This window comes from Homo sapiens, chromosome 5, assembly GCF_000001405.40.
Source record: "Homo sapiens chromosome 5, GRCh38.p14 Primary Assembly".
Lineage (NCBI taxonomy): Eukaryota > Metazoa > Chordata > Mammalia > Primates > Hominidae > Homo > Homo sapiens.
The window spans coordinates 131472198-131484232 of record NC_000005.10 but is presented as its reverse complement, the minus strand read 5'-3'; the positions used below and the strand labels follow the sequence as shown (position 1 = coordinate 131484232).

The following is a 12035-nucleotide window of genomic DNA, read 5'->3' as shown; positions in this document are numbered from 1 at the left end:
AAAAAAAAAAGCCTCTGCAGTGGGTATAATCAGTCTTTTAAATTTTGATATACATTATTTAATAACAAGTAAGGTTGAGCACCTTTTTTGTGTGTTTTGGCATTTCTTTTCTATAAAGTCTTTTTTTTTTTTTTTTTGAGATGGAGTCTCGCTCTGTTGCCCAGGCTGGAGTGCAGTAGCACGATCTCCACTCGCTGCAAGCTCCGCCTCCTGGGTTCATGCCATTCTCCTGCCTCAGCTTCCCGAGTAGCTGGGACTACAGGTGCCTGCCACCATGCTAATTTTTTGTATTCTTTAGTAGAGACGGGGTTTCACTGTGTTAGCCAGGATGGTCTCAATCTCCTGACCTCATGATCCACCTGCCTCGGCCTCCCAGAGTGCTGGGATTACAGGTGTGAGCCACCACGCCCGGCCTCTGTAAAGTCTTGACTTCATCTGCCCCTTTTTATATTGTTACTCATCTTTTATTGACTTGTTTGACCACTTTATAAATTAAAATAGTATCTTTCAACTCTTTTTAAAGAGTTGAAAAGTTGAAAGTATTTTCCCTAAGTGGTTTGTGTTTTGACTTTTGTTTCGTGTGTTTGTGAACGCATATATACATATGTGGGAAGAGACATTTTTAATTTTTATGTAGTCAGTTTTATTAAGCTTTTATAGATTCTTTGGCACTTTTACTTTTGATTCATGTACAATGTCTGATATTGCTGTTTAATAGCATTGTAGTTATGTGTACTCACTATCCTTTCATTTTTGTCCCTATTTTTTTTAATTTAACGCAATCATTTCTCTTCTTTAAAACAAGCTACAAGCTCCACAAATTTTTGCTTATAATTACATACTCATGTCCAGTGGAGAAATTTAACATTTTTTTTTTTTTTTTTGAGACAGAGTCTTACTCTGTTGCCCAGGTTGGAGTGCAGTGGCTCGATCTCGGCTCACTGCAACCTCCGCCTCCCAGGTTCAAGCGATTCTACTGTCTCAGCCTCTGGAGTAACTGGGATTACAGGCATGCGCCACCGTGCCCCGCTCATTTTTGTATTTTCAGTAGAGATGGAGTTTCACCATTTTGGCCAAGCTGGTCCCGAACTCCTGACCTCAGGTGATCCACCCTCCTCAGCCTCCCAAAGTGCTAGGATTACAGGCATGAGCCACCACACCCAGCCAAATTTAACAATTTTAAAAAATAATTCAGTTACCTTATATACACACTACTAAGGAAATCGCCCCTTCAAAGTTTTCCTTTTGCTCTAACAGAAAATTTCAATACTTTAGCATAGCATTAACTGGCCTCATCTCTAGCTTGTTCTCTAGTCATTTTAATTTTCTTGAACTTTCCTTCTACCACAGGGACTTTGAACTTGAGATTTTCTCTACCTAAGATTACTCATCCTTTGCCTAGTTAAAATCTTCTCATCTTTCTGATTTCTTTTTACAAGATGACTTGCTTAAGGAAGATTGCCCTTTCCTACTGTTTTAAGTAGTTCCTCTGGTTATGTTTTATGCGTCTTAGACTGACTGTAAGTTCCACAACAGTAGTAATATACAAACATCAAGTGAAGTGCCTGACCTATATTTACAGGTTGACATTTTTTGAATGAATGTCTGAATTTTAGATTTAAAAAGTATTGGCCAGTCGTGGTGGCTCACCCCTGTAATCCCATCACTTTGGGAGGGCGAGGCAGAAGGATCATTTGAGCCCAGGAGTTCAAGACTAGCCTAGGAAACATAGTGAGACCACATCTCTACAAAAATAGAAAAAATGAGCTGGGTGCAGTAGCACATGCCTGTCATCCCAGCTACCCAGGAGGCAGAAGTGGGAGGATCAGATGAGCCCATAAAGTCAAGGCTGCAGTGAGCTATGGTCTCCAGCCTGGATGACAGAGTGAGACCTGACCCTGTTTCCAAAAAATGCATATATAAATGTACATATATACATGTATACACACACACACATACACACACGTGTGTGTATATATTACCATATGGCTTAAAATCAAGTGAAATTTGTTAAATATTTTATTTTAATCATGCAGACTTTATGGAAGGTAACTTCTAAAAAGTCTCCATCATTTTGATAGCAGAAAAATGTGCTTTTCATAAACTTGCGCTGTGCTTTGGTAATGTGGTATCATCCTTCTGTTGAAACCCTCAAATCAGTCCAGATTTACAAGTGAATACCAAGTTGTAAGTATTTTAATCCATTCTTAAGGCTTTATCCATTTCTATCTTACTTGTAAGTTCTTTGATTTTGTGGGAAACTCTTACTTTCCTTTTCTGTCGTTTTCCAAAAAAATTCTCTGTGATTGGATTTTTCAGTGGGCATATTTACACAATTTACAACTTAAAAAATAAAAAAAGGTGCAGCATATACTGCTCAAAGCTGTATGTAATGATAAGCTGAGTGTTTGCTTCCACAGCTCATGCAGCTGAAGCCATTTAAGTCTATTCTAAGAATATGCAACCACTGTTTCTCTGTAATTCAGACTTCTTCAGGCACCATGACTCATCATTTCTAGATATTTAACCTTATACAGATTTATCTTTGCTTTATCCCAAGGAGATGTAGCCATCCTCACAAGGCAAAAATTTGGTGTAGGCAAATAGATTGCTAAACAGGTAATTTCCCAAATGTACCTGCACCCTCATTAAGGATGAAATAATTCACCAGACTTAGTTAGACTTGATAGAAAGATATCTGAGGCCGGGCACGGTGGCTTAACGCCTGTAATCCCAGCACTTTGGAAGGCTGAGACGGGCAGATCTCTTGAGCCTAGAAGTTCGAGGTCATTCCTGGGCAACATGTCGAAACCCCATCTCTACAAAAAAATACAAAAATTAACCCAGCATGGTGGCACACTCCTGTAATCCCAACTGCTCCAAGAGGCTGAGGTGGGAGGATCACCTGAGCTTAGGGAGGTCCAGGCTGCAGTGAGCCCTGATCACACCACTGAACTCCAGCCTGGGCAACAGAGTGAGACCCTTTCTCAAAAAAAGGAAAAAAAAAGGGCCAGGCATGGTGGCTCACGCCTGTAATCCCAGCACTTTGGGAGGCCGAGGCAGGTGGATCACCTGAAGTTGGGACTTCGAGACCAGCCTGACCAACATGGAGAAACCCCATCTCTACTAAAAATACAAAATTAGCCTGGTGTGGTGATGCATGTCTGTAATCCCAGCTACTTGGGAGGCAGGATAACCTCTTGAACCCAGGAGGTGAAGGTTGTGGTGAGCCAAGATTGCGCCATTGCACTCCAGCCTGGACAACAAGAGCGAAACTCTGTCTCAAAATTAAAAAAAAAAAAAAGCAGTATCTAAGATATGATTGGTTGTTACTTGTTTTTACTTCAGACCACTGAAGTGGATATTTTTTTAGCAGCTTTACTGAATGACATAGCCTCATAAATGTGACCGTGAGGAATCGATATATATTACCAAATTAAAATTACCAAAATTAGGCCGGGCATGGTGGCTCATGCCTGTAATCCCAGCACTTTGGGAGGCCGAGGTGGGCGAATCACCTGAGGTCAGGAGTTCGAGACCAGTCTGGCCAACATGGGGAAACCGTATTTCTACTGAAGATACAAAAATTAGCCGGGTGTGGTGATACATGCCTGTAATCCTAGCTACTCTGGAAGCCGAGGCAAGAGAATCGCTTGAACCCGGGAGATGGAGGTTGCAGTGAGCTGAGATTGTGCCACTGCACTCCAGCCTGGGCGACAGAGTGAGACTCTGTCTCAAAATCAGTCAATCAATCAATAACCAAAATTACTGCTTTTGGTAAAAGTAAAAATAAAGTCCAGCAAAGCTTTTCTCATCTAAATTTTACAATCTGAACCTGACTACAGTAGTGAGGTCTCATCTCAAGTGACATATGTAGTTATCCCTCGGTATATGCATAGGGTTGGTTACAGGACCTCCACCCCATGTACACCCAAATTTGTGCATATTCAAGACCCACAGTTGGTTCTTCAGAGCCATACGCAGGTTTTTGCATCCCAAGAATACTGTATTTTCAATCCACGTTTGGTTGAAAAAAATTCAAGTATAAATGGACCCACATAGTTCAAACTGGTGTTGTTCAAGGGTCAGCTGTATTATAAGAAATAACATAAAATAGAACCTAAGTATCTGTTTCTATAAAATTAGTTGATTAGCAGTTATGTTACTTATTACCTAAATAGGAACCTCTGTTTTTTTTCAAACTTGCCTGCAGCCTGCCCACTTCCTTTCCCTTTCCCCCCACTGACTTTCCTTTTATTAGTGTTGGGCAACATCAGAAGTATAATCAGGTATAAAAACTAAAGAAAGAAGAAGATATAGCTGCTAAAGGACGGGTAAATACTTGACAGTGTTTAGTTGAATGAGACTGAGAAAGTTCAAATAATGGAAAGTCACTGTGTTTATCCTTAAAATTTGTTGTTGGTATAAAAATTTTCTGAAGAGAAGAAATAAAATGACGCATTTGTTTTATTTCCACAGTGTTCAAAGAGTTACTTTTTAGGACTGAACAAGAGAAATCTGGTGTTCCTCATATTCCCAAAATTGCTGAAAAAAAAAGTAATCGCCATTCTATCCAGCATGTGCCAGGAGATATTGAACAGACATCACAGGAGAAAGGAAGTAAGAAAGTTAAAGCAAATACTGTTTCAGGTGGAAGAAACAAAATCAGGAAGATTTTGGATAAAACACGATTTAGTATCTTGCCTCCAAAGCTATTTAGGTAGGTAATGCCGATCTTAGCTATGCAGGAATTTTCATCTTCACTGTAAAGTTTTTATTTGGGGTGGGGGGAGGCTTGGGTAAGTTTTGCTTTGTTATATAACTAATGTATCATAAAGTCTTCAAACAGTACTCAAATAAGAATACATTTGAACTTCTCCCTATCACTTTCATGAAGTTACTACTTTCAGATTATATAATAGCATTATTTTGAATTTTGGGAAAGACTGTCCATTTTATTTTATGAAATCCATTTTTAAATATTTTTGGTCCACTTTTAGTCTCCTGATCTCTACAAATTGTACACCTTAAATCTTGGGACTTATTCACCAGTTTTTTTTTTTTAATCATTTTTCCTTTGCAGCACCATTTATTCCTTCTTGAATTCTAAAGTTGAACTTTTTAATCAGACCTATTTCTATTTCCAAAATGGGATATCACCAAAACTTAGTAATACTTGAAGATTTTAAATGTAAATTAAGGTCTGTAAAATACTGATGGAATTAGTCCACTAAAGTGTCATGATTGGCGATGACTCTAGTATATATTACATTAGCAGCTTCCTGAAGCAATTACAAAAGTTCTAATCAAGAGCAGTACAATACTTAGCACATAGTAGGCACTCAGTTTATATTTATTGAATAAGTTAAGACAGTGAATAATCAGTGAATGAAATAAAGCAAGTTCAAAAAATACATTAAAAGAAAATACTTACTTGCCTCCTGAAAGTTCCTGGTAATTGTGCCAGATTATAGTTATAGGAACAAAAAGGGATGGTCCTTACCTCTGAGAAATTCACATCAGGAACCCTTACTCTGTACACATTTATTATATACTAAGCCAGAGACAGGAAGATAAATAGATCAAGGTTCTTATCCTCCAAGAGTTGATAATCTAAGCAAATTGCAAAGTTCTCATGTTACAGGTTGATAAGTGGAGGCAGGAACAAACTTGTTAGGTTTGAATAGATTGTGTTTCTGTATATGTAACTAGAGCCAGAGCAAGAGAAGTAGGTTATGAGGGACCTTGAATATTATGCTAAAGATAATAGACTTCATCATGTCATGACAGGGAGCCATAAGAAGACATGGGATTTGATAAGATCTGTTCTTTTAGGAAGACCTCTCTGATGGCTGTGTTAGTGATTTGGGGTTGTGGATACAGCATAATATAGCAGTGATAGCAGAGAGAACAATTGGGAGGCAACTTGGAATTGTGTCAACTCTCATCTTTAATGATAGCTATTTTTAAATATTTTTTCAATAATTAAAAATCTCGAAGTTTTTCCAATCAGATATCCTCATCTTCCTGAGTTCTTATTTCCAGTCAGGGAAACACATTTTCTCCTCATTTAATTTGGAACTCAGAGGATTAAAATACCCTGAGTTTTTTCTAAAAGTTCATTACTCATTCTATCCTTGAGGTGAGTGGCTTATAAAAATCATTACTTTAAAATACCAAAATTTTGAATGTCAAGTGTACTGTAGCAAACACTGTAAGAAAAGGCATGGTCTCACAAATGGGGATCGAGTAAGGAGAATGTTAGAGGGGCCAGCCCACACTGAAGAGGTCAGGGATGGTTGGGGATGACTGGAAGTCACTGTGAAAAAGGGACAAAACCGAGGATCCAGAAGGCAGAAAAGAATGCATGAGGAGAATTCCTCAGGGGGTAATGCCCTGAGTTCCACTTCCAGAAGCCTTAATGGGTTTTGTCTGGAATAGATCTTTCTTCCATTAACTGCGTCTCATTTTGACCAGCGACACAGTTGTGACATGTATCATCTAAAGACAGACAAGACTGTAATTACAACTCTCTTCAACTTGTTACTATCACATTCTCACCAGCTGTACTCAAGTTTTAGGCAGCTAAATCAGTATCTCATCTCCACATTATCCTTTGGTGAGGGTGTGGGAATTAGTTACTGTACCTGAATTCTGTCTTTGGTTACAGCAAGAGGTGTAAAACTGAGGTCGCCAGGAACAGTCAGTTGAGTATTTTCAAGCATTATAACTTTATATTGGTACCCAAAAAAGAGGACTATCTGGTAAAAATAGTTTTGCTTAAACTCAGAAGGGATTATTGGGTCTCTTGCTTTGTGCCAACAAGAAAATGCTTGGTTATGAATATAAATATGAATAAAATGCTGCACTGCAGAAGTTTATATTAACCTGTCTGTCCCTTCCAAACATGTTTCCAAGGAGTAAAATGCTAATTATTTCAGCCACATAAATACAGAAAAAATAGTTTATCTTGGAAGTCAAAGGTTTCTGGAGCCTATTTTGTTGGGAGAGCTGTCTTACCTATCAGACTGGCCTTTTTGCATTTCGGAGAATGTATCTTATATTTCTTGACAGTCATCTGAAGTGAATTCAGACAATTCCTTCTGCTACACAAAGGTATACTACCCTTTATATATAAAGAGCTCTCAGAAATCAAATAGGAAAAAAAAATCACTAAAACTTCAATGGAAAAATAGGCAGAAAACATGACTCAGATGATCTATATTGATATTGATCCAGGATATACAGTTTAATACTGGATACCATTTGTTTCCTCACAGATTGACAAAAAGAATGGTCAGGGACAGAATTGAAAATGTTATAAGTTTATAAAAGTTTAGACTGGTGTGCTAATATAAAGTGATGCCTTTCTATTAAAAGCTTTAAAAGTGGCAAAATTCTGGCTGGGCACGGTGCCTCACGCCTGTTATCCCAGCACTTTGGGAGGCCGAGGTGGACAGATCACTTGAGGCCAGGAGGTTGAGACCAGCCTGACCAACATTGTGAAAGTCCATCTCTACCAAAAATAAAAAAACTAGCTGGACATGGTGGCGTACACCTGTAATCCCAGCTGCTTGGGAGGCTGAGGCAAGAGAACTACAAAAATTAGCTGGGCATGGTGGCACATGCCTGTAATCCCAGTTACTCGGGAGGCTGAGGCAGGAGAATCACTTGAACCCAGGGAGATGGAGGTTGTGGCGAGCCAAGCTCGTGCCACTGCACTGCAGCCTGGGTGACAGAGTGAAACTCCGACTCAAAAAAATAATAAATAAATAAATAAATAAATTTTATTTTTAGTAGCGACAGGGTTTCACCATGTTGGCCAGGCTGGTCTGGAACTCCTGACTTGGAACTCCTGACCTCAGGTGATCCACGCGCCTCAGCCTCACAGAGTGCTGGGATTACAGGTTTGAGCTACCGCACTAGCCAATAAATATTTTAAAATGACAAAATTATTTGATTCAGTAGTTCTGTTTCTAATAGTAATTAGATGAAGATTTATATATAGATGCTCCAAGTTGTTTTATCTACACTAAAAGTTGGAGCACCCTAAATGTCCAACTACAAGGATTGGTTAAATAAATTCTACTACACATCAGAAAAATGACTAGAAGGAAAAATATCAAAATGTTGATTGTGGTTTTTGGAAGGCATAGTTTCATAGGTAATTTTTCCCTTCCTTCTCTGCTTTCTTTCTGTATTTTACAAGTTTTCTTCTTGAACATTTGTTATTTTTTAATTGAAAAAAATGTTTAATGAGTTCAGTTTCACAATTTCTGAGCATCTCCTGTGTGCCAGACCTCTTTGGAAGAGGCACCAAGAACAGAAACTTGTTCTCTGCCTTTAGCAGCACTCAGTTCTGTAAGAGTAGAGGATGAGTTGTCATAGAAAAGAAAGAATGTAAGGAAAGAACAAATACTTGAGATAAGAATAGATAATTCCAAAATCCCAAACAAACCATGATATAATTTTAAAAGAATGTTCCTAAAAATTAAAGTGAAAAATGTTACTAGTTTGAATTACATCTGTAAGTTAAGACGGAAGTATGGTTTTTATTGACCTAAGAATTCTTCACATTTCAGGAAATCTGTTTTTCTTTTTTAAAAATCACATAGCTTTTATTTTGTTTTTAAAATCACAGTTGCCTAAGTAACATCTCTGTGTTATTCATTGTAACAATCCCAGAAATAAACTGCCTTGCTTGCTTAACTGGAATTATATTTTTCCTCCCCATTTCTTGTCAACGTATTTTTGTTTGCTTTTTAAATATTGGGATTCTATTTTATTTACATATTGGCGATATTTATGTAGCCTTTTTAGTTTCATAATATGAAACCAAGTACTTTTATCCTAAGTAAATTTAGTGTTGGGGAAGTATTGAGGAATATTTTTAAACGATTTTTCTTCTGTTACTGCATCACCTTCTCAGGAGACTGTTTTGGTAAGAATGATACAATTACTTGCCAAATGGGCTTTATCAACTCAGCTTTCAAATAAGCATGGATATTTTGCCAACTAAATACTGTTTCATTCATGGCATAGCATGGATTGTACATAGCAGTATAGTTTTCATTTATGCACCTCACACTTTAATTACTACGAATTTGTAACCAGCTTTACATATTTATAGCTATACAGTGTTTTCTCTATTGAGCATTCAAAAGCAGAAGCGATGTTAAATAGCATCAGCAAGAGATATAAGGACTTTTCGTATTTTCTGTACATCTTAATTTGTATAGTGATTCAGCTTGCTGCAGTTGATGCAGTTAATTCCCTTTAATAGAAAATTGTAACTTTTTAACATTGTTAAAGTTGCTTCTACTTAATTATTAGTAGGACTGGACAACCTCTTTAATGGTTTGCTTCCTTGGATTGTTGTCGCACCCTCTGTGTCCAAAAATTGATGTGTTTGTTTTCAAAAGTCAATTAAAGAAAGACTGTTTTTTTAAAAAATCTTTATTTTCTGTATACTTTAAATACCTTTGAAAGCCCTTTTTCCTCTTATTTTCTCTTACCTAACCTTAGAACATTTAACTCTAACCTTTAGGAATACAAACCAAATTATAAGGAGTCAATTTAGAGTAAATGCAAATTATTTATCAAATGAGATATCTCCTTTGCTTTATCTGTCAAATTAGACTGCCTTCTCTCCCCAGGAAAGCACTTCCTGTTTCTCTAGTACCTTTACTCGGACCTGCCTCTACTTTTTAATATAAACTGAGTAAAATAAATAATTCTCCCTTCTGTGTTTGTACAATTCTCATTTTATTTTTATTTATTTATTGTTTTGATACGGAGTCTTGCTCTGTCACCCAGGCTGCTCTCTGCAACCTCTGCCTCCTGGGTTCAAGCGATTCTCCTGCCTCAGCCTCCAGAGTAGGTGGGATTACAGGCACGAGCCACCCGACTTCTGGCTAATTTTAGTATTTTTAGTAGAGACGGGGTTTCGCCATGTTGGCCAGGCTGGTCTTAAACTCCTGACTCAGGTGATTCACCCACCTCTGCCACCCAAAGTGCTGGGATTGCAGGGGTGAGCCAATGTGCCCCGCCCTATTCTCATTTTAATTTTTGTAAAAGTAAGTCCATTCTTAAGAATTAAAGTCCTGTTTTCCTTTACACCACAACATTCGCCTATATTACCTGATTTTTCAGTATTCCTGGGGGAGATAGTGTTGCTCACATTTACAGATGAGAAAACCAAAGTTTATAAAGAGAACGAAATTTGCCTGAAGTCAAGCAGCTAGTAGCTCAGGTCTGTCTGACATCAAAGCTTGCCCTTGAAACACTAATCTTTGCTTTCTTCCATGTCTCTTTGCTTTTCTCTGACTCTTCAGCTCTGTCATATCCTGGCCTTCTCTTTCATGTCTGACTATTAACAGTCCTTTAGCAGTTTATTTAACAGTCTAACTCTCCATCTTGCATAGTTTTCTAATCTACGTAAAATCCTATATTTTACATCTAGTGTAATTTAAATGTATTTCATATTATTCATTTATAATACTATACTTTAATCTTTTTCATGATAATAGGTAAGTATTCTGTGATACTTCTGTTGGTATGTATAGCAAGTACTAGGCAGAATGCTGCATTTGATAAAATATAGACAAGAATTAATAGTAACAGAGCATTGGTTTTAATGTAAGTACAACCCTTAGAAGTAGTTTTTGGTTATTGATGTTGATGGAAATTTTTTTCACTGCTATCTTATGTTTTTATAGGACTGTTTTGCTTAAAAGTAAGCTAAAATTTGGGGGTATCTAAAACCTAAGTGACAGTGTTTGTTTCTTTGTTTTTATTTTTTCTCTAGGTGGATTTAGAAGTTGCCTATGTCACATTTCTAAAATATTTTAAAGGAAGAATATTTTGTTTGCTTAAATAATTAGACTTGAGAGATTAAATAAGAAATAATGTACCCTTAGAATGAACTTTAGAGACTGTAATTTTCATAATTCTATTTTTTTTCTGGTCCAGTGTTTAAAGACCACTCTTACTTTGTCACTTGACCTTGGCCCCATTGTTATCTATTACCTGCCATAGTTTTTGGTTTGAATGTAGACTCTTTTTCCTAGAGGATCACCAAGATTTTCTGGAGAAAGGGAAAGAGAAAGAGAACACCTTGCTATGGTGTGGCTGTGCATATTTGGATACATGTATTAGTGTCCACTAAAACTGGCAAATTTGAAGGGTTCCCTAAATACTCAGGTTCAGTTTCTTCACCCAAACTGGTAGACACTAAATAAGACAATTTAATTAGGATGTAGTAGAATTACTTAGATGTATAAGTTAGATTTTATTTTAATGTAATTGTTAAAAATTTTAGTGCCATTTTCATCATTACAATTGTCTTTTAAAAATTGCTGTAGTATTTCAGTTGTTTAAATCACCTCTTTGAATTGGTTCTTTTATGCCTTAGTGCACAGGGAACAGAAACGTTTACTACTTAAGTACTCTCAAATACTTTAAAGTGATATATGACATTCTTTTGAAGTGATGGAGGCCTAAGCCAATCACAAGATGACAGCATTGTGGGAACAAGGCACTGTAGGCATAGTCTGGCTATAATGCCCATCCCTGGAACACTCTCATCCAGCAGCCCTGATCTCCTGCAGCCTACCACCAGTATGTTGGATTTTTCCAATCCTTCAGGTAATTTTCATATGTGATTTTATATTGCCGTATTGGTACCAAATGAACAAATAGATGGTTAAGCCTTGTGCAGCAAGTGCTAGAGTTACTTGCAGCCCTCTTAACTCTAGATTATGACTTGATGCAAAAAACTAAAGGGAGATTGACTTGTTCTGTTAATTTGAATGGTACTTCCTCTAAAGTGAAACAGAAGTACATAAAAAAGAGACTACCTCTGGCCAGGCGCAGTGGCTCACGCCTGTAATCCCAGCACTTTGGGAGGCCGAGGCGGGCGGATCATGAGGTCAGGAGATTGAGACCATCCTGGCTAACATGGTGAAACACCATCTCTACTAAAAATACAAAAAATTAGCCAGACGTGATGGTGGGTGCCTGTAGTCCCAGCTACT

At 37.5% G+C, this 12035-nt stretch overlaps 1 protein-coding gene across 6 annotated transcripts in view; it reads left to right on the top strand.

The window, feature by feature from the left end:
* The window catches only part of RAPGEF6 (Rap guanine nucleotide exchange factor 6), a 211309-nt gene that overhangs the window by 150997 nt on the left and 48277 nt on the right, over positions 1-12035 (top strand). For all 6 annotated transcript variants that reach the window (NM_016340.6, NM_001164388.2, NM_001164386.2 and 3 more), the window contains exons 16-17: positions 4480-4720; positions 11489-11646. In NM_016340.6, coding sequence (NP_057424.3) covers positions 4480-4720; positions 11489-11646 — 399 coding nt within the window. The remainder of the gene's footprint in view (positions 1-4479; positions 4721-11488; positions 11647-12035) is intronic.